The sequence below is a fragment of the Homo sapiens genome, chromosome 15 (genome assembly GCF_000001405.40).
Source record: "Homo sapiens chromosome 15, GRCh38.p14 Primary Assembly".
Taxonomy (NCBI): Eukaryota; Metazoa; Chordata; class Mammalia; order Primates; family Hominidae; genus Homo; species Homo sapiens.
In genome coordinates, this window is record NC_000015.10 from 42,138,952 (window position 1) to 42,166,068 (window position 27,117).

The window sequence follows — 27,117 nt, forward strand, 5'->3', positions numbered from 1 at the left end:
ATGAGGTAAGGACTCAGATACCTCCTCACTGAGGAGCGACCCTGGCTGAGCAGTGGATGAAATGTGTACTCAGACACAGGTATGCAGTGTAAGAGCAGCTAGGGGACTGCCCAGCTCAAGTGGCCAAAGTGCAGCCCTGAGAAGCTGGAGCTGCTTGCTTTTATTCAGTGCAGGCACAATGCCAAAAGCCTGGAGCAAACACTGGAGGTAATTAACATTTATTGTTCCCCTTTCAGGGAAGGTCATGGGCGTAGATGATCAAAGGTCAGTTCCTGGTCAACAGAAGTAAACAAGCCTGTTTAAGATAAATTCCCCCACACTCCCTCGTACCTACTCCTTGCCCTCTGCCTCAGGGTTATAGAACAGCTGTCTTTAGCTATTCTCCTCCAAAGCTATGCAGAGCCTTCCAACCTTTCAGAAGGCCTGCTCCTTTCCCTATAGCTTCTCCCACCACTCTGACCAATCTCCTACACTTGTGGCCCCCTTTTTCTTCCCTTGCCTCATGAGGAGCTCTGACAAGTTGATGAATGATGTCCCTGCTCCTGTGTTTCTACCCAGCTTCAAGGGAAACCATGCTTGCTCTTCTAGACAAATCCCTCCAACTCTGTCACCTTCAGGACCCTGAAGCTTATTTCCAGCCATCTCAGATAAGGGTTGGGAATGAGGTAAAGACTCAGATCTCTCCTGAGGAGCAGACATTAAACTGGCTGGGTTACCTTCGGCCCCTCCCCTGGCTTCTTGCTCTGCGTGGCTCCCAGATTCAGTCTTGTTGGAGCCTCCCCATCCCTGGCTGAGATCCTCCCTGTACTTCTGGCCAATATCTGGGCCACAGCACTAGCCCAGCCTCCTGCCCCCTGCCCCCTGCCCTTGATCTTGTCCCAGTCTCCTCCCAAACCTTATCTGAGCACAAGTGGCATTGCCTACACTTCTGTGTGAGAAGGTCCCCGCCCACTCTGCACAAGCCCACGTTTGCCTCCTTCACAAGCCTTGCTGGCCTGCGGGGACAGACGCTGGCCTCTGCAACCCTGGGGCTGCTGATCACATAGCTGAAGCAGAGACCTTATTGTAAGCAACTTTTCATGTGTGTGTGTATGCCTTTTTCTTGGGAGAGGGTCTGTGGTTTATATCAGCTCTTCAAAAAGTCCACATGGGTTAGGAATCATGAAAGCATTGCATGCTTTTTTGTGGTTGGTGGGTGACGATCCATTTCTTAGAATGTAGGTTCCCATTCATTTATCAAATATTTACTGAGCACCTACCATGTATCAACTGCTGCTCTAGGCACTGAGGATACAGCAGTGAACAAAACAGATGGTAGAATGACTTTCTAGGAGCCAGAGACAGCCTGAGGCTCTAATGGGCACTGAAGAAACACCACAGATTCTAAGTTGTGAACGCTGTGCAGTTCTGAGCTGTGAACCCTATGAAGGTTTTACTAACAAGTTATTGATGACGGCAGGCACAGCAGTGTTGATGACAATGGCCACAGCAGGAGCCAGATAAACTCCCAGATAAACCTCTCACTGCTGAACCAAGGGGAGGGGCCGTGGCCTGTGACAGGCAGCCATGGTGAGGAGGCAGAGGAGAACTGAGGTGTCCCCACCCCATGCCAGCCCAAATAACTGGCTCCCCCAGCCCTCGCAACTCATGCCAGCTGGAGGGCTGCAGATCCCAGGCCAGGCCAAGACACAGGCTGGGCTCCAGTCACCCTTCCCCAACCTGGAAACCAGAACTAGTCTTCTTTCCAGACTCAGGACAGGTAAGGCTTCCCAGCACAGGTGTTCCTGACAGCGTGTCTGTGTGAGAGAGCATGGAGCAGGGGGTGCAGCCAAGAGGGAGCCCCTGGGACAGGGGGCAGAAGGAACAAGGTCTCAAGTGCTGCTGCAGGCTCCTAGGCAGCTCAGCACTGGAGGCATATGCTGCAGAGGCCGTGGCCAGATGGAGAGGGCCTGGCCAGAACGGGATCTCCTCTTCACGAATCTGAGGGCTGCCCACACTAGAGAGGTTCTAGGTATTTGGAGAGTCCCTGGCGGGTCAGGGGAAATGGAGAAGAGGGAGAGTGAGAAACAAAACTTGCCAAGACCCATTGGATGCATCTGGGAAAGAGGCAAGAGCCCAGGCGAGGCTCCCTCTGCACTGCCCATGCCTTGGAGTAACCCACCTCCAGGAACTTGCACACCCTCCTGCCCCACATACAGGTGCACACCTCTCCCCCGATGAACTGATGCCCCTACTAGACACACCCATTTAGCTCCTAGGAATGGTGAGACTATATTTGCATGATGTGGCCACTACACACATCACCAGAGACTGTGGTCCAGGTTCGAAGAGTGAAGCCTGGGTAACTGGCAGGGAGACACGCGCACATCTCCCACCTGGAGCAGCCAGAATGGGACATCACCCCACAGGCTTTAGGGCGCTGGGAAGAGAAGGGTGATCTGGGAGGAGGCACGAGGAGACCAGAAGGCAGAAGGAGGGTTAGGATGATGGAGTCAGCAACATAGGCTGGCCATCCCCTCAGCCCCTCATTGTTCTTGATAGCAGTGCATCCAGGAGCTCGAGGTGGGGTTGGGGCTTGGGCCGCTCTGCAGGAAGTGTGGATGGATGCATCTCTGCTTTCCATCTCAGTGTAAGGAGGACAGCTGGCTTCTCAGTGCCCTCAGCCCCTGTTCTGTGTGGGTCTGAGGACTTGGGCCCTCTGAGGTCCTTCTGTGTCTGGGGTGGGCTCTGTGGCTCACCTGATTCTCTCCACACCCCGCTGTGAAATGAGTGCTGTTCTCTTCTGCCCTACATCCCCAAGAGTCCCTGGAGCGATCTACTGCCCATCTTCTCCAAAAACACACAAGGAGAGCCCTGCCCCAGTCCAAGCTGCAATTCTGCAAGAGCTTTCCGGGGCCTGGGGCACCTCGAGGCAGGTCCTGGAGAGAAGGGAAGCAGATCCTGCACAGAGTCCCCATCGCTCCTCCCTCTACAAGCCCTGACCATGAGCAGTGTGTCTCCTCTCTGTCACAGTCCTCCGCTTCCTGCCTTGGTCAGGCCCCTGCCCTCTCCCGAGCCTGGTGCCGGTCCAGAGCCAGCTGGAGGGCGCACTTCAAGGTCTCCACGTTGTTCAGGACGTTGTATCGACTGAGGGCCACCAGCCGATAAAAGTCCTGGGGCTCATAGGTGAAGTTCATCATGCCATAGGGGGTGTCTGGCCTGTTGATGACAAAGTCCCCAAAGGCCTTCTCCTCAGCTGTTTGTCGCTCCACACCTGTGGGTGGGGGAAGCAGAGGAGAGGCCAGGATGGAGCCCTCTGTGGAACTGGCTGGAACAGCCCAGAAGTCTTCCTTGTGCAGGACACCTGGCTGGCTCCCTGCGGGCCCTGCTTGGGCCACATCTCAGCTCTCAGACCCCCCAGGAGGGGCTGGCCCCATCTGAACGCTGAGACCCAGGGAGCAGAGGGCCACAGGGGCCAGCTCAGGCCCACCAGGAGGCGTGCTTAGTGACATTCTCCAGGGAACCCACCCTCAGAACAGCGTCCCATCACCATCCCAGGGCTCTGTGGGTCAGTCCCAGGCCTGGAGCTTCCCTTACCTGGGGCCAGGTGTGTGCGGAAGGTACGGTTAACCAGGGGGAAGTGCAGCACAATGGGGGAGCGGGGGTCCTCAGCCTTGGCAAACAGATAGCACTCACGGGCCTCCTCCATGTCCTCAGGGCCCACCTCGATGCTAGGGAAGGGGATTCCTCGGTCCAGGCAGTACTTCTCTGTCATCTTCAAGACCTGAGCAGGAGCAAGCCTCTGACTCTGCCTTTCCTCCACCCTGGCCACTCCCGCCGCCCTGGACTCACACACGCCCAGGCTTCAATGCCAGCTCTGTTTCTGACTAGCTGAGTGACTTCAGGCAGGTGACAGCTCCTTTCTGAGCTGGTTTCTCATGTGTAAAATAAAAAATTTTTAAACTTCCGGCCGGGCATGGTGGCTCATGCCTGTAATCCCAGCACTTTGGGAGGCCGAGGCTGGCAGATCATGAGGTCAAGAGATCAAGACCACCCTGGCCAACATGGTGAAACCCCGTCTCTACTAAAATTACAAAAATTAGCTGGGCATGGTGGTGTGTGCCTATAGTCCCAGCTACTCGGGAGGCTGAGGCAGGAGAATCATTTGAACCTAGGAGGCAGAGGTTGCAGCGAGCCAAGATTGCACCACTGCACTCCAGCCTGGTGACAGAGTGAGACTCCATCTAAAAAAAAAAAAAAAAAAAAAAAAAAAAAGCTCCCCATCCAGTGGTGTTGTGAAGATTAACAATAATCAGTAATGATCAACAATCAATCATCCACTGCCTCAACAGCATTCCGCCATGGTCCTCCAGGAACCACCATGGTCTTCCCTTCTCTCACCCCTCTCTGCTCCCTATTAGAAGCTGATGTCAGTTTCACAAGGTTGACATGCGACAATCACAGAAGGTCCACGTCAGAAGAGGCTTCATCAATCCCCAGTCAATCCCAGGCTCTCACTGGACCCAGGACAAAGAGGAGACCAAAGGAAGGGCTGCTCCAGCAGCACCACCAGCACCCACATGGGAATGGGGGCATCCGTCCACCACCCAGCAGAGATGGAGGGACTTGCTGCAGGGCTTCTGCATCAGAGGGGACCCTCATGGCTCTGTTGTTACCATGGTAACAAAGGGGCCACAGACTCAGGTCCAAGCTGGAGTGGGGAAATCTGTCATGAATGGGCAGAGTCTAGAACTGGGGGATCTTCTATGGATGAGGCTAGAAGATTCCTGGGGACCCTCTTTGGCCTCCTCTTCCCACGCCCACCATAATCTCAGCAACTCTCCTGCAACTGGGAGACCTGTGCTGCCAACAGCGTTCAGAAGGCAGCTCCCTCACACACAGAGTGGAACCCAGGCCGTCCACAAAGGGCAATCCCCACACACCCAGCCAGTCCCCCTCACCAGAGCCTTCTTTCCCCTCCTCTCCTCCCTCACCCTTTCTGTCCACTCACTGCAGGTGCTCCCCACATCCCTGCCTCCCAGCTCACCTCAAAAGGGGCTTCCAAGGAATAGTCAAAGGACAGAATGAGGTCCACTGCTCTCTGAGGCAGCAGAGCCAGTGGGAACGGAGAGTTGATGGCAAAGCCTCCGTCCACCAGGTACAGGCAGTCCCGCATGGGGGTGAGCTGGTTGGGGAAGGCGTCCGGGTGTGTGTCTGCAAGGAACCCATGTGTACGCACAGGGACGAATGCAGTTACTCTTGCTAGCAACCGCTTCTGTATTTGCATTCACGTTTGCCTTCTCTCTGTAGAGTTCTCTCTGACAGCCATGGAGACTCCTGCCCCAAGCCCTTGGCCCTGCCTTCCAGCTTCCAGCAGTATTTAGAGTCGCTCCGCATCAGCCCATAGGCAGCAGGAGACCACACCTCAACCCCCAGCCCAAAGCCAGCACTGGCTCCAGTGAGCCAGAGGTGCAGGCAGGAAGGGAAGCCCCCCATCTCCCACCCAAGGCAGCACCCACCTTTCCAGGCCACGAACTCCCTGCCAGCCACATAGTCCTTGTGCAAGCAGAGACCCCGGGTGAAGTTAAAGCTCTGGGCGGAAGTGAAGCGGGAGGTGAATATGTCCAGCACAGCCTGGGAGAAGGGCCCCTGTGGGGTGAGGAGCCTCGTTCGCAGCCTCGAGGGGTTGTGCAGCTGAGGCTTCTGGCAGTCGTCTAGACAGGGGCGGGACAGTGAAATAGAGGGGAAAGTGGCATCCTCCTTTGCCCAGTGGTCCTTATAGTTCAGGGGTGCCCCTCCCCAACAGTGAGCCCTCCCCACATCCCTCCTCCTCCCTGACCCCACCTCCCAAGCCTCTGACCAATGCTTCATTGAACCACTTTGAAACGACTTTTTCTTTTGTATCCTCTATGTTTTGAAAACTGCCTACAGCATTTACTAAATAATAATTTATCTTTCACCCTTCCTAAAATAAAGTTTGAGTCTACAGCTTCCAATCAGAACTTCGTCCATTAAACACTGACTGAGCAATTACTATGCCCAGCACTGCACTAGGCATGAGGGCTGTGAAGGTGAACGGGACCTGCCCTGGCCCTCCCAGGTGCACGGCCTACTTGTGGGGGAAAGTCACATAAAGAGAGAATAAATGATGACAATGCTCCGGGGTAAGGACGACGACAGGGATGTGCACATGGTCCTAGGGGACCATGGTGGTAAGATTCTCAGGCATCCTGGAGGGATGGAGTGGAAAAGGGATGTCTGAGAAAATGACATCTGAGCTGAACTGAAGAACAGAGCAAAAGTGATCCAGGGGAGAAAAGCGGGAAGGGTGCTCTGCACCGTGGGGCCCCCATGAGCCATTTAAGGACCAGGCTGAAGAGGGGCAGACAGAGTATCAACCCAATACCCAGTAGTCCTGCACCGAGTGGACCTAATTGGATCCCAGAACAGAGAACTCAGAGGTGTGGCTTGATCATACCTCTGGGCATCTAGACACCCTAAGCTAGAAGTCATTTCCTCAGGACTTCCCCGAATCCAGTGGGACAGCCAAGTCCTTCTCTGTCCCCTCCCTCATTCTTCTTGTCTCTGCCAGGGCCCTGTTGCTGGAATGTGGTGTGGGAGGGGCTCGGGGTCGCTACCCTCACCTGTGATATTCACACTGCCTCTGTACCACTCCAGGAAGCTGAGGCCCGAGCCGGCGGTCTTTAGGAAGATCTCATCCAGGCTGGTGGCAAAGGCGCTGCCCCACATACCTAAGGAGACAGGCAGGCCCCCACCCCACGTCAGGGCCTGGCCCCGGCACCTGCCTGTCCCCAGCCCTCCAGCCTCGACTCACCTTGCAGGTAACAGATCCGGGGTTCAGGCTGGAGCTGCAGCAATCGTCCCATGAAGAGTTCTGAGCCGAAGAGCTCGGTGGGAACATAAGCCCCGTACTTGGGGAAGCCAACCTCATAGGGCGTGAACTCGCACCACTCTAGGGGCCCGAGTGAAGGGAAAGTCACCAGGGGCTTCCCACCACGGTGCTTGTGCCCAAGCAGGAATCTTAGCCTTGACAATGACAGGAAGAAGCAGCAGCCCCGCTGTGCTCCAAGGTGCCTGTGTGCAACCACCTCCTCTGGGTACCCTGATCACCCTGGCCTCTCACCTCCTCCTCCCCACCTCCTCTACCTCCTTCCTTCGTCTCCACACCCAGGCACCTGCAAAATCTTCCCCACTCAAGTTGGTGCGGACGTTGACACTGGTGTAAATGGGGTAAGGGTTCTGACCCTGGCGGACCGCCTCCTGTTGGTCAGACAGCTTGGCAGGGTTCTCCTGGGCAGGAAAGAAGGGAGGCAGCTTGGCCTTTCAGGAGTTCCATTCCCCATCCCCGTGGCCTGGGGCCGGCACCCTGCAAGGCGTGGTGTGCCCACAAGAGAGGCTTTGGGTCGCCAAGGCCAGTGCTGTAAGGACAGCCCTCTGAGGGACAGGCTTCAGGCCGCAGCCAAGGGGAGCCCACAGTGGGTCTGTACAATTCCAGGGACTATGGGAACACCCTCCCTCCTTCTTTACTATTCAAAACAGCGTATCAGAACACCAGGGAGTCAGGGTGACATGGTTAAAGGAATCCTTGAAAAGCCAGTCCAATTTCTTTAAAAAATAAATTACTAGAAAACGTGGATTATTTACTTAGAAATGAGAAATCACTTGTGATATCCACCCACAACTGATCTCCACACACGGGGTGGTGGGGAGCAGCTCCGAATCTTATCGCCTGGAACTGCAGCTGGGTCTGAAGTTCCAGGAGCAGCCAGGCGGAGTGAGTTATGGCGGAATTGGCTGAGAAGTGGGTGTGGCGCTGGGCCTCACTTCCAGGTGTGGGCTGAAATCACTTTCAAAACATCCTGAGAACAACTAAAATCACTCTCTCTGGAAGGGGGGCCGAGGCATGGGTGTGTTTGAAAAGCTGCGCCGGTGATTCTAATATGCACCCAGAGCTGAGCGCTGCGGACCAGGCTCCTCCTCCCCAGGGGTTAGGAGCTAGGGAGGCAAAATGGTACCAGCCCACCCTGGAGTCACACTCCTGGCCCCAGGGGAGCCGAGAGCTCAGGAACAGCTTTGTAAATCAGATCTTAGCCTGAGGGATGAGGCAGAAGCAAGGGGCGGGTGGAAGGAGTGGAGAGGAGCCTACGTATTTCCTTCTGGCTCTTCTCTCACCTCCTGGTACAGGAGATACTCAACAAGGAGGCCCCAGAGGTCGATGAGGGACACGCTGTGGCCACTGCGCTCCCGGACCCCCAGTTCCTGAGTGTAGTACTGTAGCCGCTCCGTGGACAAAGCTCCCATCTTACTGCTGCAGACGTGAACCTGGGCACGCTCAATGGGGCCCTGCAAGGCCACCTGGGACCAGGCTGGGTCCCTGTAGAGTGTGGAGATGCACCTGGGGATTGGAGGTGTGCCTGAGTCAGGGGCAGGAGAGCACAGCCACGGGAGAGAGGGGTGCAGAGTCTGTGAGTGGCCCTCCACCCCCACCACTTGCACTGCTGCCCTGCAAACAACCCAACTCAGAGGGGCGCTTGGGACTCAGCCTCTTCCTGCCCCTCCTAACACCCTGGGAGGCAGGATCCCAGCCCCTCAGGGACTCCTTAAGATCACCAGGTCACAACCCCACACTTTGTGGGGTCTCCTTTACCCTGTGCCCTGCCCCCACCTCACTTACCAGGTAGACCCAGAGACCCCACTCAGGTAGGTCACAGTGTCTAGAAGGCCGAGCTCCTGCAACCCTGCCAGGCTGCCGTACAGAGAAGACATGGCTCGGGTTCCACCCCCGGAACCCAACACAGCCACTACAGGCACCTGGGTACAATAATAACAAGGATAACGACTCCGACTACCACCGTCATTGACGTATTACTGCCTATACATGTAGGACATTATTCTAAGAGTCTTACACGTATTATCTCATTGAATCCTCACAGCAACCCAATGAGAACCCCATTTTCAGCCAGGCACAGTGGCTCACGCCTGTAATCCCAGCACTTCGGGAGGCCGAGGCGGGCGGATCATGAGGTCAGGAGATCGAGACCACGGTGAAACCCCGTCTCTACTAAAACTACAAAAAAATTAGCCGGGCATGGTGGTGGGCGCCTGCCTGTAGTCCCAGCTATCTGGAGGCTGAGGCAGGAGAATGGCGTGAACCCAGGAGGCGGAGCTTGCAGTGAACTGAAATTTCACCACTGCACTCCAGCCTGGGCGACAGAGCGAGACTCCGTCTCAAAAAAAAAAAAAAAAAAGAGAGAACCCCATTTTCCAGATGTTGAAACTGAGGCACGGGAAGGTTAAATAATGTGCCCAAGATCATACAGTTAAGTGATGAGCTCTCACACCTAAGCAGTATGGCTCCAGAGATAGCCCTTAACCATTCGACCTGGAAGATATAGACCTGGAAGGTATATCTGATTCCCCAAAATCAGCTACAGCAGGTTCCTCTCAACCGTGGCACTCTCGATATTCTTGACCAGGTAGCTCTTCGCTGTGGGGACTGTCCTGTGTGTTGTAGGATGTTTAGCAGCATTTCTGGCCCCCTCTACCCAGTAGAAGTCAGCAGCCTCCCTCCACCTCCCCTTTCCCCAGCAGCAACAATGAAATCGATCTCTACACATGGATGAATGTCCCCAGGGGTGCGGTGGGGAGGAACTAAATTGTCCCCCGTTGAGCACCACCGAGCTAAAGTGACAAAGGCCAGCAAGCAGCCTAGACCTGCCCCCAGGCACCAAAGGTGCCCAGAGGTTTTAAGGTCTCAGGATCGGAGGTGCCTGAGGGGTCAGAGTCCATGCTTTTGGTTGCTTAGCTTTCCCAGTAAGATTTGGCTCATTCCACTCTGGATTTTTGTTCTTTTCCCTGTTCTCTTTTCGTCTCCTGTCTTGAAAAAATGCTCCCTGGCCACTGCTCACAGAAGGCGCTGTCGCTTCAGAGTGCTGGATGAGACAGAGCAGACACCTAGCACAGAGAGGGCATACATATTGCCCCAATGAACGATCTAGCCTTGTCAGCGCTGGGCCACAGTGATAGCGTCTCCTGAGGACTCAGGCAGCCTGGAGGAAGCCGGCAGCCTATTCCTGATCCCCTGTAAGTCCCTCTCTCAGCACGCCTTTCCTCCTGCCTCCTGGCCACAGGCTGGCTGTCTCTATACCCAGAGGATCCCAGGGACCCCCCAACCTCCACATCCCTTTGATCACATTACAGACTCAACTGTCCCCCTCCAAATTCCTGTGTTGAAGCCCTAACCCCCAATGTGACAGTATTTGGAAACAGGGCCTACAAGGAGGTAATAAAGGTGAAGTGAGTAAGGGTAGGGCCTTCAACTGATAGGACTGGGGTCCTTAGAAGAGGAGGAGGAGACCCCAAGGCGCACGCTCTGCACACATGCACAGAGGAAGGGCCACATGAGGACATGGCGAGACAGCTCCACCAGGAAGAGGAGAGGGAACCCAGCAGAAACCAACCCTGATGATGACACCTTCATCTCGGACTTCCAGCCCCTAGAACTGAGAGAAAAGTCATTTCTGTCATTTAAGCCACCTAGTCTGTGGGGTTTTGTTACGGCGGCCCACATAGACATCCAGCTTTGGCCAGGGCCGTTTGGCCCTGGTCCCATATGGGGTCCTAGCTCTGCCGATGGTGCCCACAGCTCAGGTGAACAGGCCAACCTCCTCTGGCCCCTCTTAGCCATGCTGGTCCTCTCAAGGGAAGAGACTTGATTTAGTCCTAGAGGCTCTGGGGTCCAGCTCCTCCTCCATTACGTACCTGGCCACTGTCCAGAGCCTCACTCAATCCCAGCACTTGCTGCAGGGCCTTGGACACGACCTGCTTCCTCCTGTCCAGAAACTCCTGCTCCCCGTCAGAGAGGTCAAAGCCAAGGCGTAGGTCTAGGTCCCCGGAGCTGCCTCAAGTAGGGTGGGGTGGCGGTGGGGGGTTCTGGGTGACTGTCCAGTGGAGGAGAGCCTTGGGCCCAGCCCAGGTCTTTCACAGGAGCAGGTCCAAGGGATCCGCCCACCAGCACCAGAACCAGGGAGGGAAAAATGTCATCCCCACCCCACGGCCTGAGCTTCTTGGGCAAGAGAATGGAGCACGTTGGGGTATGTCCCCGCACTTCTAGCCCAGCCCCAAGAGGCCTTCTGCCTGGAGTCCCACTCACCTCATTTCCACCTTCATGCTCAGAGCCACCTCCTGGCCCTGAAAGACACAGCAGCCCCAACCCTGAGTTCTCTGGGCAGGATTCTCCCAGGGAAATGGCTCCCCCACCTGCAGCCCTTGCTGCCCTGCGATCTCTGGCCCGATGTGGACATCATAACTGACCTCTGGACTGACCTGATCCAGCCACCCTCTTGGGTCCCTCCTCCAGACCTCTCTTGGTGGTCACAGAGAGCAGGCAGGGGTCCCTCTGGCACCCAGACAGAGCCTTACCTCCCCCAGGGCCACAGAACACTGTTCCTCCTGGCCTAGGGGCAGAGAGGAGAGCAGGATGCCCCCCTCGCCCAGCTTGCTGGTCTGAGCCTCCAACTCTGCGCTGGGGCCACTCTGTGGAAAAGAAAACACCCAAGAAGCTCTCCAGCAGGGAAGAAAAGTCTCCCCCAACGTGGCCCTGGAACGCCAGTCTGGGCTGAGTTGGATCTACCGACCATCCTGGCGGCGCACTCACCTGCACAGCTGCCAGCAGCTCCATCAGCTCCACGTGTAGCCTGGAGCTCAGCACTGGGTTCACGTGGAAGGTAAAGGTGGGTGGGAGGCCTGGCTCTGTGGGAGGCTGCAGGGGCAAGAGCTGTGGCTTCTCGTAGGCTCCAGGCACTGCCAGCTGGAGCTGCCTAGAGCCTGAGAGCAGAGGGCCCAGGTGGGTGCGCAGGTGAGGGGGTGGGTCTGTGTCTCTGCGGCTTATGCTGGCAGCGCCCCAGCAGCAACCCCTCCCTTCTCTTCCCCTAGGAAATGCCAGCTCTTATCGCCCGCTCTCTCTTGAGCACTGCTCATAGAGAAAGCCTCTGGAAGGACTCTTGGGTCCTCTAGCCTGCCCTGGTCAGAACTGGGACTCGGGAAGGGTGGGAAGCACACAAATGCCTGGAGGGGAAGGCAGGGAGCGGGGAGGGAGAGGGGCCCTGCCCAGAGCCTGTGGGGCTGATGATTTGAGATGATTCTATGTTTATCATAAGAATGAGCAGTTTTCAGGCAGTGGTTTCCCGCTTGCCCCACTTCAGCCTCTTTACTCATTGTGTTGGAGGTTTGTGGCCCAAGAGAAAACCAGTAGGCTGCAAGTTGTTCTGGCCTTTGTTTCCAAGTGTAGAACGTTGGGAGAGGAAGGTTTGTAGAGGCGGGAGGAGGAAGAATGGGATGCGTGGGTACAGAGAGATGCACGTCCTGGAGAAGCGGCGGAGGGCTAGCCCAGACTGGAAGATGAGGCCCAGGCTGGGAGGAGTGAGGGGGTGGGCTTGTGGGCTCCGGAGCTCCCTGCCCAGCTTCCCAGCAGCTTTCTGGGGAGGAGGCCAGACCCCAGGGAGAAATGGCTGCACATGACATCCGGGCAGAGGGGGCCGCAGACAGCCTCCCAGGAGTCCCAGCCCCTAACACAACATGGAAGCAACAGAGACCCAAAGTATGCGAGGACAGCAGACACTGAGGGATGAGAGGTCCAGAGGAGTCCCTGCCCTACAGCCCCTCCTTGCACTAGATGAGGCCCGGAGACTCGACATGACCAAGTGTGGGGAGGGAATTCAAGAAAATAAGGAAAGTGATATTTTATTCATGCCAAGGCCTATGGACTGAGATGGAGACGTGCTATTCATAAGAAGAAACCATATAATCCGTGGTTGAGAGAAGCGGAGTGTCACCGACCTGGGTTTGACCCTGGCTCTACTACTTACTGGCTGTGTGCCCGTGAGCAAGTGTTTTCTTTGGGCCTCAGTCTCATGAATTAGAGGATACTGATTGTGCCTGCTTTACAGGGTTGTTAGGAGGATTATAAGGCACATTAAAATGCTTAGCCCAGGGCCTGCCTCAGAGTGAGCACTCAGGGTTCCCTGGGCAGGACTCATCCTGCAGGCTCAGGCTGTCAGCACTGGAAGGGGCCTTTGCTGTCACACAGCCACTGCTGCTATCCCACATCTGGACTTCCCTGCCTGGGTGGCTGTCCTCTGTGGCACTGGGTTTGACAACCCCAGTTCTTCATTTCCCCTGTATTCTCATTCTGCCATGTGACTTCAGCTCCTCCCGCTAAAGAGGCCAACTATATACCCTGCCCTCCAGCTTTGAGTTCAACCCTGTTTTGGCCAATAACATGTTAGGTAGTGGCCAGGCTGTGACCAGGCTTAACAAGCGCTTACTCAGTTGGGCTTGCTCTCTTGTTCCTCTGCTGATGCCTTGAGAACATGCCCAGGCTAATGGGCTTGTCACAGGAGGCAGAGGAGAGACGCATGGCACAGGGCTGGGCCACCCCCGCCAAGCCCAGCCCAGCTGACTGCCAGTTGTGTGAGCCAAATAAATGCTGCTTGTATGCCACTGAGATCATGTGAGTGTTTGTTGTAGAGCAATAGTTGGGCGGATACAACCTCTTTGCTCGAACACTTCCAGGGACAGGTTGTTCACTGCCTCCAGTGAACAATCCATCCCATCGTTAGTCGGCTTTGAGCAATGAAAACTTTAAGAACTTCCTGCCCCAGACCCACCTCCTTGACATCAGTAGTTCCAACCCCGGGAGAGAAGGCAAAAGACCCAAGGCCGCTGAGCAGACTCACCGTACTCTTCCCGTGGGGCTGTCCCATCTCCCCGGAGCGTGCCCTGGATTCTCAGACAGGGGTGAGCCTGAGGAAAGCAGAGGCCTGTAGGAGCCAGACAGCCCACGGCCCCAGCCAGGATGGAGAGAGGGAGGAGTGCCTAGGGCAGGGTCTGGGAAACAGCCATGGCCCCATCCAGGATGGAGGGAGGGAGGAGTTCCTGGGGCAGGGTCTAGGAAACAGCCCTCCCAGGACCTGGGCCTCACGGGTAAGAATCTTTTACAGCAGCCCAAGGTCATACCTAGCCCCTCTCCCCAGACTCAGAGGAAGTGGGTGCTGGTGGGAAAGGGGGAGGAGTTGAGGGGCCATGACAGTGGCTGCTCCGGTGGTCTCAGCAGCCAGAGGCCCAAGTGAGTAACGTGCTGTGTGGGAGTAGGAGGCTGAGGTCCTGGGCTGTCCACCAAGTGCCTGGCAGCTTCTTGTCCTTTCCCTCTGGAGGTGCCTCCCTAGCACATCTCCCCTCCGAGGAGGGCTTGGGTGTCCTTCAGAGGCAACTGGGCCTGATGGGCCCTGTCACGGGTTCCTCACTGCCCCCCAGCCCAGAACAGCGCCAAGCTTGCCTTCCCCACTCACCACCAGAACCCCGTTGGTGATGACTTCAGATGCAGGCACCTGGCTGCAAAGGATGAGGAATACATGGAGAATACATCTGGCCCCATCATGATGGCCTCTACAATCATAATGTGACTGAAGCAGCGGGCAGAGCATGAGGAACACAGCAGGGTTTGGAGTGGGGCGAGCCTGCCGCCCAACATGCAGATGGGTGTCAAGACCAGGCCATTGCCTCCAGGCCAGGCCTCCAAGGCCAGTGCAGGACATGGTGACTGGCACCTAGGAGCTGCCCTGACTCAAATCTCTGAGTCTCTGAGGGCGTTGGCTCTACCAGAACTCACCTCTTCTCCAGAACAAATTCCACCTGCAGCTCTTGTGAATCCTACATGGAGGGGGAGGGAGCACCAATTTTTTCAAGGCTCCAAAAGCCTCCAGAGCTGTTCCTGCCTGCCAGCCCTGCTTGGCTCCAGGGGCTAGAAGGGGAGACTGGCATTGTGGCTTGTCATGGACATAGGAGGGGCAGTGGTATCTCCATGGAGAACCTCATTTATTCCAAAATATGTGTCAGGTGCTGTTCTAGACATTGATAATTCAGCTGTGACTGAGGGAACACACAGCCCTCAAGGAGCTCATATTTTGGTTTCATGCAAGGAAGATGTATTAGAGGGAGACCTTTATAGGGTCAGGGCTGCGGGGTGGAGGAAGGTCTGCCTTGGAGGCTTGGCCTGTGCCGACCAGAGCCCCCTCTTTGGTGGCCCTGTGCTGGGCCTCCCCTCCTCCAGCTGGGCTCTCCGCCAGCACTGGTGGGCTCACCTGGTGGTTGAGTGGGAAGGTGTGTTTGTGAGGTTGGCCACACTTGAGGCTTCTCAGGTCAAACAGGAGCAGAGAGAGCTGGTCGCTGCCCAGGATGTCCTTGTCATAGAGGGTGAGCTCCAGGACGTTCTGGGGACAAGGCAGGCAGGAGGTCCGAGCATGAGGTAGGACAGGAGGGTAGCTGCCTGAGGAGTTCCCCTCCCGCAGCCTGGCCCCTGGCTGGCCCTCACCTTCACAGCACCATGGATCTGGTAGTGGAAGGTCTCATTCCACTCGGGGTCACTGCAGTTGGCCACTATCCTAGTCTGGGCAGGGCTTGGGGACGCCGTGGGCAGCCACAGTTGCACATAGCAGTCGGCTTTGGACACTGCAGGTAGGACAGGGAGGGGCCGGGGCCTCAAGCTCTCATTGCTGAAAAGGTTTCCTTGGGGAGGCTAGGGCAGAAGGGGAAGGAGCAGAGTGGGGAGGGGAAGCCGCCCACGTGGCATGGTGGGGTGAGGAGGTGGAGGGAGAGCCTTGATGTCTTTCACTCCATCTTGATTCCACACACCTCCCATTCACCTGAACAGAAATCCTGCGGCAGCCAGTTGGAAAGATCCCATGGCAGCACAGACCATTAATTCCAGCTACTGCCTGATTCAGGCAGTAAAATCCCCTCCCTGTGTGGGCACTGGCATGGAAAGCTCCCTGAGAGCGCGTGCTGACTTGTAGCCACAGCGGGCCTCACACTGTCACCCAGGGCGGCACTCCCAGGCACAGGGAGGAGGCCGAGTCTGCACAGCTGTCCCCTCCAGCCCTGCCTGCCCTCACCTCCATGGTCAGCACCAGTCCCTCCACCTACTCTTGCACTCACACACACACTCTTGCACTCATGCACGCACACATGTGTAGTACTCTCACACTGGCACACACACACGTATATACACACACTCGTACTCAGTCACACACACTGGCACTCACTGTCATGTATACAGACACACATACACAACACGCACACACGTATACACACATACACACTCACGTTCACACACACTCGCACTCACATATATACACTTCCACTCACACTTGCACTCACACACTCCTACATGTGTATACACACTCGCAGTCACATTTGCACTCACACACTCGCTCACACTTGCACGCATGTATATACACACTCGTGTTCCCACACACTCGCACTCACATGTTTACACCACATATACACGCACTCACACACACGTATACACATGTACTCACACTTGCACTCACACATACTTGCACAGATGCCTACACGTATACTCACACATGTATACACACATGCACTCTCACTTGTACTCACCCATGTATACTCTTACACACACACACTCTCTGTTAGCCAGCCTGAGCTGAGCTCTGAGGAAGCCGCAGGGAAAGGACAGAGAGAAGGATGGAGATGGGGTCACTCACGCAGGTCTGTGCCCCGGATGTTTGTGGCCCTCAGCACCTTCACCTGGAGGTCATAGTATGGGTAGGTTTCCCGCTGCAATAACAGAACTCCAGGGACTCAGTCAGCTAGTGTGAGCCTGGTCCCTCGCCCCATTGTTCCCCTCGTCCCATCATGGAGCAGCAACCTGGCATAGGGTCACTGACGTCTCTGTGCCGGGGAGCAGGGAGACCTTGGCGGGTCCCAGGCATTGGGAGTTCAGCACCTTCGTGATGTGTCTGGACCCTGGAACCCATCCGGTCTGGGTTCAAATCTAAATCCAGCACGGACTCACTGAACTAACGATGGCTGTCACGCACCACACACCTGCAGCTCCCCTCAGACGCTCGCGCCCCCACTCTAGCTTGGGAGCAGCTGTGAGAGCTGTGCTAATGTTGTGCTTGAGAAGATTAAATATTAAAAGAGAAAACTGTGACACCCCCTCCCTTGCTTGCTCCCTGACAGAGGCTCAAAGACCGTCTAGGAGGCAGCGAGCAGGTGAGCGGAAGCCGAGAGTCACCGGCCGGCCGGTACCGGTCTGACGAGTCACCGAGCAGATTGCAGCTGGGCTTAGGAGAGATAACATCAGCATGCTGCCTACTGGGAGGGAAACTCTCCCCTCACAACCCCACCAGCTCCGTGGACTCTACAGCCAGGCTCGCGCATCCTTGGTGAAAGCCAACCCACCCCAGACAAGTGTCAAGTGAACTAACCCTCCATTTCCTAATCGGAGGGAGCTATTTTTAAGAGCCAAGGTCTAATTTAAGCTCTGCCAGGTCATCTAGAATAAACAGGTCCCACCCCAACTCAAAACCCAGGGCTGGGGCTGGTCTCAGTCTTCACAGGGCACTGCAGCTCCCAGGACTCCCCCAGTCCGGGTTTCCCAGGTAATCTCAGGTACGTTACCCGCCAGTGCCTCCACAGAGGGCCCCTCTTCTCTCTCTTCTGAAGCAGCACTGCCCCCAGGAGGGGCAGCATCTTGTCTGCCAGCCACCTTGGCCAGAGTGCCCAAAGCATGGCTGGGCAGCCCGGGCCCCAGCAGGGAACCCTGCCTGCGCTCCTCTGGTTGCACAAACTGCTGGCTCAGGTGTGACAGGCAGCACTGAGTTGGGAGGGTGGAGCTGCCTGCTCTGCAGAGAACTCAGGCTGGATGGCCTGCTGGAGGTGGAGTTTGACATGCTCCAGGAAGTGACTGGAGCTTAATTTCCCCAGGCAGGAGGCAGCTCAGTCCCTCTCCAAGAGACTCTTGGGGTCTCTGGTTAGCACTCTTGTTCCCAAACCCAGCGCCCTGGTTATCACTGGGCTGTTTGTGAAAAATAGACACCGGAGCTATTTCCAACAAGACCTCTAGGTGAAGCTGGCACAGCTGGCCCAGAGACCAGCTGGCAAGTGCAAATCAGGGAAGAGTCTCCTCCAGCTGTGGAAAAGGCCTGAAACTAGCCACCCTTCAAGTCCCACCTTCCCTGCGGCTCTTAAGCTGAAGCCTAGAAATCTCTGCTTCAGTGTTTCATCTGGGATCAAAGATGTTTCTCTCTTTATATATATTTTCTAATTATACTTTAAGTTCTACGGTACATGTGCACAACGTGCAGGTTTGTTACATGTGTATACATGTGCCATATTGGTGTGCTGCACCCATTAACTCGTCATTTACATTAGGTATTTCTCCTAATGCTATCCCTCCCCCATGCCCCCTGCCCCCCGACATGCCCCGGTGTGTGATGTTCCCCGCCCTGTGTCTAAGTGTTCTCATTGTTCAATTCCCACCTATGAGTGAGAACATGTGGTGTTTGGTTTTCTGTCCTTGCGATAGTTTGCTCAGAATGATGGTTTCCAGCTTCATCCATGTCCCTACAAAGGACATGAACTCATCAAAGATGTTTTTAATCTCTCCTGACCACCCTCATTAATTCGCCAAACACCAAGAGCCTGGTGGGTGCCAGACCTGTGCTAGGCCCAGAAACGCAAAGGTGACAGAGGTGAGGCGGGCCCATCCACATCCTGGAGAAATTCAGTCTCATGACTCCCTGTGGCTTTGGCCCAGGCTCGCTTCCTGGGTCAGTGTACAGTGTCCAGGTACAGACAGGCATATGGGCAGGGGGTTATAAATAAGGACAGGCCAAACAACAAGTCTACGTATCCTTCAGCGACCAGATATACAGGCTTTAGCATTCTCTTTGGCCATCGTAGGCCTTAGGCTGCAGATGGATGTGATGTTCGCTCTTCTGTGGACCACAACCATCAAGGTGGCTGAGACAGGCACAGTCTCCAGGAAGAGTGAGGATCTCGGGGGCCGTGAACTGTGGGAGGGAGAGAATTTCTGTCCCTCAACTAAGATTCAGTCATCTCCACTCTTCCCAAGGCCTAGAGTCACAGGCTGAAAAATACAACATCCAAAAAAGATGTGATTCAACTCCAAAATGAACCGAATGGGCAAGTTCAGACCAGAAACTCCCCCCAAAAAAGGAATGTGTGACTGCCAGTGACCAGGCCCCAAAGAAGGGCCTGTTTCTGCTTTATTTGGATTGTGAAGCCAAGACTTGGCCTGGGCTCTAAGAAATGAGAGTCTGGCAGTTGGTGATAGCTGTGAATGTATGCAGGGGACCTGCGGATCCATACAAGAGGAGAGGGCACAGAGCTAGCTGGGGGCAGAACCAGGCTGGGGCTCTAGCTCCTGACTGATGTGTCTTTCTGGCTGTACCATCCTCTTCTGGAAGTCATCGGCCCCACTGCACAATAAAGTCATTGCCCCTAGTGCCAGATGGGACAGAGACAACAAGGACTACATTTTCTCTTTGGAGTTGGCCAAAGTGAACCAACACTTCTCCACTTCCCAAACACCTCTGCGTCCCTCCATCCCAATTCCTTCATCATGGGCTGCAGGAAGAGGCACCAGGTGCTACTACATGATGGGGGAAAACACTTGGATCTCCCAGACGCCAGTGTGTCCCGCAGAATTCTGTAATGATGGATGTGTTCCGTATCTGTGCTGCTGACTCATCAGCCATGACCACACTGGCTGTACCACGTGGCATTTGTAATGCAAGTATTATATTCATTTTTTCTTGGTCACTAATTGGCTTATTCTTCTAAGTTCTTTGCTAAACTACTATCTTTTCATTGTTATTTTCATCAAACTCCACGGGAGGGAGAAATAAGAGACCCAGATAGGCTTGGTTTCTTGCTTTATTAGGTTTATTATAAGGAGCAGTGATGAGATCTTTATCAGTCCTCACTACAAAGCTTTCATCTCCAGCCTTCTCCATAGCTCTGTGGAGGGCAGAGAGTTGAGGGAAGGAAGAATGGAGCTTGGGAGCATGGGATCATGTATGTATACCAGGAAAGAAAACACACATTCTTTATTCTATTGCTTCAAAGACAGTTTGTGAGAATGGAAGATAACAAGCACAGCTGGCCAGGAAGGCAGGGCACACATGGCAGGTCAAGTTCCTGCTATCCAGGGAGGTGGCCCAGAGCTTCCCTGCTGCTCCTGGAGGAAGCAGAGTCCAAGCTGGCCCAGATGAGGCCCCGGGCAGCACTGCTTCTGTGTGGGTATGGCCAGTCGGGACGTGGCGCCACACACTGCTCCTCCGAACTCTGGTGAAGGGCTGCCCAGCCTCACAGGCCTGAGCAGAGTCTCCCACATCTGCGAATGGGGCCAATGGCACTCACTGTCTCTTCAGGCCCCCACGGACGGCATGCCTGGGGAAGCCTAGTCTACTTACCATCAGCACGTTGATCTGTCACACAGCATGGAGCCATAGTTTACAAAGGACCACGGCAGGTCAAGGACAGGCCACTAAAACTGTTGGTGCTGGGCACCATCACCCACCCTCACCACCATCAAAGACACTGGTGCAGTGAGACTTCGAGTCTGCAAAAACCCCGGGGAGGACAGGAGGCAGGGCCACTCTCCCTGTGTGTCATCAGCCTGCAGTGCCTGAAACTCCAGCCTGTGCACCTCTGGCAGGATGCCCCACACTGCTCCACAGGTTTGGCGGTGAGTTATTTTTAAACCAGCGTCCTGCTGTTCTTGCCCCCCGCGTCCCCTCTGCTGTGCCTAAACACCTCTCAGGAACACTTGGCAGCACGCCATTGTCAGTTCCAGGTCCACTCATCCCCTGCGTGTTGCCGGGACCCACCTTCCTGCGCTATCCCAGCACAACTCTCCAACCACACCATTGCTGAACAAAGCTGGGGAGTGACGGCCAGGGCAGGCTGTAAGGCAAGTGAATGGAAACTGGCTGGAAAAAGAGAAAGGGCCCAGAGCACAAAATCGCCACGCACAAAGACTAAGCCAGCCTGCCTGAGTGTCTGGTGAGCGAAGACGGAGCAGGCACCTCTGTGGGAACATGTATCTAGGGATCACGCATACCCCAGACAGGGCAGGCCCATCCTCAGGAGCTGCAGTCACACTCAGCCCGGCCTGAGGCAAGGGATGCAGGGCCTTGCCTAGGCAGAGAATGATGCTCTCCGAGGCATCTAGGCATGGAGTGTATGGCCAAAGAGGGTCTATTTACAACATACCTGACAATCAACTAGCACTGTATTCCTAGAACTGAGACCCCTTGCTTCTCATCTTACCTTGCTTAAATATTAGTTATTCCCAGAGTCAGGGAAGTGGGAGAGAAAGCCTGGGTAGGGCAGTGAGGGAAGTGATAAATGGTGAGAAAGAAAAGGAGACTGAAAACTAACAGGGCGGCTACCGAGGGGTGCAGGGCACAGTTACCATGGAGACGTAAAACACTACACAGAATGCGAGCCATCGGGTCCATGCGGCCAGAAGCTTGAGTGCTGTTCTCTCATGGAACTCTCCAGTGAGCCATGCTGAGCGGTCCTTGTGAAGTCATGTACTTAATAGAAAAGCCCTTGATGAACAACCCCATGGTTACAAACACTTGTGACAAGTTTCCTTGTTCAGGTGACTGGTGTGCAAAGGCAAGATGGTGCACATCCTCCTGACCAAGCAGGTACTGAATTCTCTGGAATTGCCCACAACATAATGGTATAAGGTATAACTAATCTCTTTTCCCATTAAAAAGCTGGCAATGCCAGACCATGAGTCTAATTAATTCAGAGTTGTTCCAGGGCACAAGATAGCCAGTAATGTCCAAATGGGGAGCCTTGTGGTGGTGGCAGCCAGGATTCCTAAGGCCAGGTGCTCCTTCACCTCTCTGGGAGAGCCAAGCTGTCCATCCGCTGGATCCCCAGGATGCTGGGCTCAAGTGTCAGCTGGGTTTACCTCTTTGGAACAGAAGTAATGGACGACCACTCCATTGGGGTATCTTGCAAATGCACTGCAGGGAAGAAAATGGCTTGGGAGTGAGGACTGCTTCTAAGTGACCACTTCTCTGGCAGCGGCACCTCCTACAGAAGAGGCACATTGCTGGGGGGCCATTCCAAAAGCAGCCCACCCAAACCTCAAAGAACAGCCTGCCTGAGGGGCTCTGGATTTCTGTAGCCATCATCTCTGTCAAATAACCAAACAGAGGATGAGGTGCACACAGTTAAGAGTGCATGGGGTATTTTTTTATTATGCAAAACACAAGGCATATTAAAGATGGGCAGTGCACCAGCCCAAAGCTCAGCCCTGGCTTCCTGAGAGCCAACAATGTTCATCAGAACAGGTTTCAGGCTAATTCTGAAAAGGACGGCGAGTTTGTCTTTCTAAAGAAAAATATTTTTCCAGCTACATAAGAGACAAATCACTCTCCTTTGAAGAAAAGGGGACTAACTAGAGTATATGTCTTAACACAGTATGAGTCTGGCTCAGGATCCTACTTGAGTCACAATGCAGTAGCTTGAAAGATCTTTTTCTTCCTTCACTGGATCTTCCTTATAAGAACTTTCTGCAGACCTACATCTCTTGGGCACCCACTATATCAGGTTCTAGCTTCAAGAGGGGAAGAGTTTTATGGACAAGAATCCAACAGCTCCATACCATACATTGCAGGTCTTTAAATTCTCGAAGCCCACTCCCAACAGATAGAACAGGCTGCTCTCTGAAGGCTCAAGAACTAAAAGTTGTCAGGACAGCCAGCAGCCATGTTCTCCTTCTCTGTTAAAGGGCAGAAATCCATCCTGAGCGTTCTCCACCCCTGGGAACCTCCACAAAGCCCAGATGCCACACAGGTGTGAAGGAGGCTCACCTGTTCCCAATCTTCTTCTTACACACCATGCACACCTTCTCCTCTGTGATGATGCACTTCACCTGCTGGTGTAAAATCCGCTCTTCCTGGACCTGGAAGAACAGGGGGATTGAGGAAGAAGTTCTACAGTGTGGCACCCAGAAACAGGAGGCAGAGGCCAGCAACTGTGTCCTCTTTCAGTCGTCACAGATTCTTCTGCTTAGAACATTGGCAATTCAATGTCAAGCTGGCTACTGGATCAGCTTGAGCTGCACTGTACAGGCTCTGCCTTGGTCAGAAGGGAACATGTGGACATTGTCTCATACTAAAAGTTAAAAGCCCACCCTAGAGTTTGGAAGGCCCATACCTACCCTCAGGAATTCTGCATGGAGAAGGTTCTTGAGCACTTGATTGAACCGTTTCTTTTGTGCATTTTCTTCCAAGACCTTTTCCAGGAAGATGCGTATGTCATTGATCTGAGTGTTTGCTGGCAGAAGGTTGAGGGCCTAGGGACAGGAACAGAGATAGGGACTGGGTGAGGTGAACAGGAGTGAGAATGAAGAAATGTCTGCAGCCGTGGAGCTCTTGGACCCTAGTCCCTTTCCACATTTCCTCTTCTCATTCGGTGCTCCCTGCAAACACCCTCCATCTCCCTAGGAACAACTCCTGACCTTGGTGGTGTCCAGTTTGCTGTGGTGTAGCTCGAGGACCTGCAGAGCGGCCTGGAGGTTGGCTTTTGGCTCCAGTAGTTCCAGCTTGATTGGCCCCAGGCAGTGAATGCTGGGGGGCGACAGGTACATCCGAAGCAGGGACAGATACACCTGTCTCAGAGAGACATGAGCTACGTCAGGCTGGCAGCAACCCTCCCAGAACCCCCAGCACTGAGCATGCCTAACGATTCGAGGGGCTCGCCTACAGTAACAGCTATCACTGAGCATGTAAAACTGGTCATTTTCACCTTGTAAATTGGTAAGGTCAAACAGGCAACTGAAGATGTTAATTAAGGATTGCTTTTTCCCTGAGAGAAAAAACCAAATGCCTTGTATTCGTTTACCATTATGCCATTTACAAAATGCTACCACTGTAAAACAATTCAAAAAGATTCCTCATTTCCTTTGGCTTTAAAAGCTGAGACTCCGTCACATTTTTGCAGGTGGGGATATCCTAAGGTGAGATGCTGCATTGCCTACTGGTGCCAGTACCACAGGCTTTCGCAACCTCAGTGCGCATTCGGGGCCAGATGATTCCTGGTTTGGGGGCTGTCCTGTGCATTGTTTAGCAGCATCTCTGGCCTCTACCCCCTGGATTCTGGAAGCACCCCTGTCCTCAGTCACAACAATCAAAAATGTCTCCAGACATTGAAAAGTCAATGTGTATTCAAGATATAGTACATCAGAACCATGACGGGTTCCCGCTCGACAGGCAGACCTCATAATTTATGACACAAATCAAGAGAGTAAAGAGACAGGAGTGCTATTAATCACAGGGATAACAAAGATATACGCCAGAACTACCCCAAGCACACCAGGATGAATGGTCCCCTGCTGTCCCTCAATACACACATGCAAGATCAATCAGAGCCCTGACTCGTGCCCTGTCTTATTCTGCCACTCATATTATTGCCACCTCTGGTCAAACCAACGGGGAGAGGTATGCACACGTGCTCCCTGGGTCAGGGTCACTACTCACATCTTTGTTGCCATCTTTGTTTCGGTCATAGTGTTTGTGGCAGTACCTGCAAGGGAGAGAGTGGTGAGAGCAGGTGGTGTGAGGGGGGCACATCTAAATGAGAGGCTGTGCGTGCAGCCTGCTCGAGCAGCCTAACCACAGCCAAAACTGCGGGCCAGGACGGAGGCGATTCTTGCTCCCGCAGTGGAGTATGGGGAGATGGCCTTCTTAACTCTCATCTCTCTGCAGGGCCTGCTTTTAGACTGCTTAGGAGGTGGGATGTTGGGGCAAACTTACTCCTCAGCCATCCTTGTATCCTTCAAGATGTGGACATAAATGAAAAGAGCTTGTTCATGTTTCCCCATGCGCCCCAACAGGAGAGCTCGTTCTTCTAAGAGGCCTAGGAGGAAAAGGAATATGAGGAACCACTGCCGCCATCACGCAAGCACAAGGTGGGGGCTATGCTGTCAGAGGAGTGGACACGAGGCAATATAAAGGGAAGACAATAGGATTCTTATTGCTTGGGTTTTTCTTCAAGGAGAAAATAACTGAAGTTTAAAAAAGGGGGAGGGAGCTATTTTAGGAAGTACTTTATCCCATCTTTTTTGAGGTCACATATAAACTGGGTAAGAATATTCATTCAGCAGCCAAGTACTTAACAACCACCTACAACATGCTAGGTGGTTCAGGTAAGATGAGCAAATGCTTGCTCTCAGCTCTCATAAAGACAAATTATGCCAGATTACAAAAACTGCTGAACAATGAACTTGGCCAAGAACATGTTCTGAAGCAAAAAACAGGTTGCAACCTGGCTATCAATTAGCATGTGGTTCATACCCAGGAAGGAGACTTTTCTCAGTCACGGTACAAAAGTGAGTCTTCAGAGAGGACAAAACAGGAGCACTGGCCTGAAATGCCTGGTTTTTCCAGGCCCAACTTTTGTGGAGAGTTGGGGAACAATTAAAGGGGTGGATTAGTCTTTGCATGACCTTCGCTGAAGTGGCTTCTGGCCCTAAGCCAGACACTCACCATCAAAGGGAAAATCACAGATGAGCCGGCCTGGATCATAGTAGCTGGAAATCTCCAAGAACATGAGGAGCTTTTGCCGGTATTCTCCCAGCTCACCCTCTTCCTCTCCAGCTGGGACTGGGGTTTTGCCTTTAAGGGAAACCAAGCTCAAAATGAAAGGACACTGCCAGGTGGCAATGTAGGGTCATCAAGAAAAATGAAGGGAATGGGGTTCAAGGATGTCACCACATGACCAGAAAGGGCCTCCAGGGTGGCTTCCATGCTAACTTCTTTTAGTTCATAGTCTCCATGTGGCCCCAAAACATCAGCTTACGGTTAAAAAAATAAGCTGAATAGAGAAATACTCTGTGGGCAAACCTGTTTCTTATCAGTATAGCTGTCATCTTGCAGACAGGTCTGTTCCTTCCACCCTCCCCGAGGGATGACTCTGAGACACTCAGAGATGCCAGGACCTAGACAAGAGCTCCTGAGTCTCATGTGCCAGGCTTGTGTCACTTAGCTCCCCTGGCTCCTCTTCAGAACTTCTGCGCACCTGGGCAGAGAATAGGGTGGCCTGCTTACCCCCACCACACGTGGCACCTGGGTCTGTGCTCTCCTCTAAGGCCTGGGGCCAACCGGCTTCCTAAAAGAACTGGTACCTGCAGGGAAGGACAGGAGATACTCCTTCATCAGACCTTGCACCTTCTCACAGTATAGCTGGATCAGGCAGTTGTGGAACCGAGAGCCTGTCTCCTCCCAAACATGGATGATGTGTTCCTGAGGCAAGATGTAGGTCTTTGTCACTGGTATTCTCCAGGCTGTGACCTGGTCTCCCAGCCTCCCTCACATTTTTAAGGCCCAACAGGTCCCATCCAGATTATCCCCTAATCGGGCTGCAAAGATGACTAAGAGACAGCTCGTCTAAAGCCACCAGGAAGTTTCACAATGCGACCCAGTAACGTGAGGAGCCATCTTCTCAATTACTAAACTCCATTTTACTAATTTTGTCCCATAATCCTCCAAACTCTCATAGCGACTCATGTAATTGTGGTTAAATATCTGCATCCTGGTACTTAAGCCTATTTGATTGTCCTGTGGTCACTTTTGAGTTTCGCTTTGGAATTTTTTTTCCAAATGTGGCTTTGGAATTTTTTTTTCTAAAACATTATTCTTTTATCCCTCTGTAGTTTACCTAGATTTGGTAGGTAGCATTTCCAGCTTGGTCTACTGGGATCTTTTTCTTCAGAGGAAGCTGAAATAACCCTCATCCTTCCAATCCCCAAGTGACATAAATCCCAAATCTGAACAGCCCGATAACAGAACCACGCAGTCCTGGATCCTGGGTTTAAAGCTTTTTAGTGCAGACCAAAAAATACCTTACCAGATAAGGAATAGCCAGACCCTTAAAATTCTCTATTAAGAAGCCGAGGACTCGATCACGTGGCAGAGACTCCACTTCCGGGAGATCTTCAGTAAATATCTGTTAGAATGAACCCGAGTTCCAGCAGCAGAACCATCTGACTGCAGTTCCAGCAAACACACACGCATGTGAGCGCAGGGATCAAACAGACTTTAGGAGGGCAAGGGTACGAGAAGGCATCTGTAGGCAGTCAGCATGTCAGACGAGGCACAGGCCTCCTCATGCCTGTGTAAGGCTCTCTCTACCAACTACAGTGCTGGCTCGCGCTTCCCAGTCCACCCTTTCTTCATGCACCAATGAAGACAGATGCAT

The 27,117-nt window shown here is 53.8% G+C and overlaps 2 protein-coding genes across 9 annotated transcripts in view, besides 6 other annotated features; both read right to left on the reverse strand.

Moving 5' to 3' along the window:
• Positions 1-82: 82 nt before the first annotated feature.
• Positions 83-17,685, reverse strand: PLA2G4F (phospholipase A2 group IVF). Of its 4 annotated transcripts, none has more exons than NM_213600.4 (20): positions 17,488-17,685; positions 16,566-16,638; positions 15,371-15,507; positions 15,141-15,269; positions 14,669-14,709; positions 14,349-14,391; positions 13,737-13,803; positions 11,657-11,826; positions 11,422-11,535; positions 11,153-11,190; positions 10,762-10,897; positions 8,675-8,811; positions 8,173-8,395; positions 7,176-7,290; positions 6,815-6,952; positions 6,624-6,731; positions 5,499-5,693; positions 5,027-5,193; positions 3,577-3,763; positions 83-3,253 (listed from the first exon to the last, which is right to left on the reverse strand). In NM_213600.4, exons 1-20 carry the CDS (start codon positions 17,596-17,598, stop codon positions 3,033-3,035), a joined length of 2,550 nt encoding a protein of 849 aa, NP_998765.3. In that variant the 5' UTR covers positions 17,599-17,685; the 3' UTR covers positions 83-3,032. The 4 variants fall into 4 exon arrangements, 1 of the variants encoding a protein (NP_998765.3); XR_931785.1 differs by lacking the exon at positions 83-3,253 and adding an exon at positions 4,381-4,496 and having other exon boundaries at positions 3,675-3,763; NR_033151.2 differs by lacking the exon at positions 16,566-16,638.
• Positions 7,082-7,582: an enhancer, noted in NCBI's record as "H3K4me1 hESC enhancer chr15:42438231-42438731 (GRCh37/hg19 assembly coordinates)". NCBI's record gives its function as "activates a minimal SCP1, AML or CMV promoter by ChIP-STARR-seq in primed H9 embryonic stem cells {active_cell/tissue: H9 hESC(primed)}" and the evidence as "EXISTENCE:reporter gene assay evidence [ECO:0000049][PMID:30033119]".
• Positions 10,764-11,551: an enhancer, noted in NCBI's record as "H3K4me1 hESC enhancer chr15:42441913-42442700 (GRCh37/hg19 assembly coordinates)". NCBI's record gives its function as "activates a minimal SCP1, AML or CMV promoter by ChIP-STARR-seq in primed H9 embryonic stem cells {active_cell/tissue: H9 hESC(primed)}" and the evidence as "EXISTENCE:reporter gene assay evidence [ECO:0000049][PMID:30033119]".
• Positions 11,690-11,842: a silencer, noted in NCBI's record as "fragment chr15:42442839-42442991 (GRCh37/hg19 assembly coordinates)". NCBI's record gives its function as "represses an EF-1alpha promoter that drives an FKBP-Casp9 reporter gene in an ReSE screen in HepG2 liver carcinoma cells {active_cell/tissue: HepG2}" and the evidence as "EXISTENCE:reporter gene assay evidence [ECO:0000049][PMID:32094911]".
• Positions 15,108-15,618: an enhancer, noted in NCBI's record as "H3K27ac-H3K4me1 hESC enhancer chr15:42446257-42446767 (GRCh37/hg19 assembly coordinates)". NCBI's record gives its function as "activates a minimal SCP1, AML or CMV promoter by ChIP-STARR-seq in primed H9 embryonic stem cells {active_cell/tissue: H9 hESC(primed)}" and the evidence as "EXISTENCE:reporter gene assay evidence [ECO:0000049][PMID:30033119]".
• Positions 17,410-18,125: an enhancer, noted in NCBI's record as "H3K4me1 hESC enhancer chr15:42448559-42449274 (GRCh37/hg19 assembly coordinates)". NCBI's record gives its function as "activates a minimal SCP1, AML or CMV promoter by ChIP-STARR-seq in naive H9 embryonic stem cells {active_cell/tissue: H9 hESC(naive)}" and the evidence as "EXISTENCE:reporter gene assay evidence [ECO:0000049][PMID:30033119]".
• Positions 19,750-27,117, reverse strand: part of VPS39 (VPS39 subunit of HOPS complex) — a 49,604-nt gene continuing 42,236 nt past the window's right edge. For 2 of the 5 annotated variants that reach the window (NM_015289.5, NM_001301138.3), the window contains 9 exons: positions 26,767-26,865; positions 26,045-26,162; positions 25,407-25,535; positions 24,675-24,777; positions 24,399-24,444; positions 23,381-23,530; positions 23,081-23,215; positions 22,731-22,822; positions 19,750-21,878 (listed from right to left, as the gene is read on the reverse strand). In NM_015289.5, coding sequence (NP_056104.2) covers positions 21,803-21,878; positions 22,731-22,822; positions 23,081-23,215; positions 23,381-23,530; positions 24,399-24,444; positions 24,675-24,777; positions 25,407-25,535; positions 26,045-26,162; positions 26,767-26,865 — 948 coding nt within the window. In that variant the 3' untranslated portion in view covers positions 19,750-21,802. Of the gene's footprint in view, positions 21,949-22,730; positions 22,823-23,080; positions 23,216-23,380; positions 23,531-24,398; positions 24,445-24,674; positions 24,778-25,406; positions 25,536-25,767; positions 25,939-26,044; positions 26,163-26,766; positions 26,866-27,117 lie in introns of those variants that run through there. The other 3 variants (XM_011521404.3, XM_011521403.3, XM_047432322.1) reach the window with 2 other exon arrangements.
• Positions 20,416-20,915: an enhancer, noted in NCBI's record as "H3K4me1 hESC enhancer chr15:42451565-42452064 (GRCh37/hg19 assembly coordinates)". NCBI's record gives its function as "activates a minimal SCP1, AML or CMV promoter by ChIP-STARR-seq in naive H9 embryonic stem cells {active_cell/tissue: H9 hESC(naive)}" and the evidence as "EXISTENCE:reporter gene assay evidence [ECO:0000049][PMID:30033119]".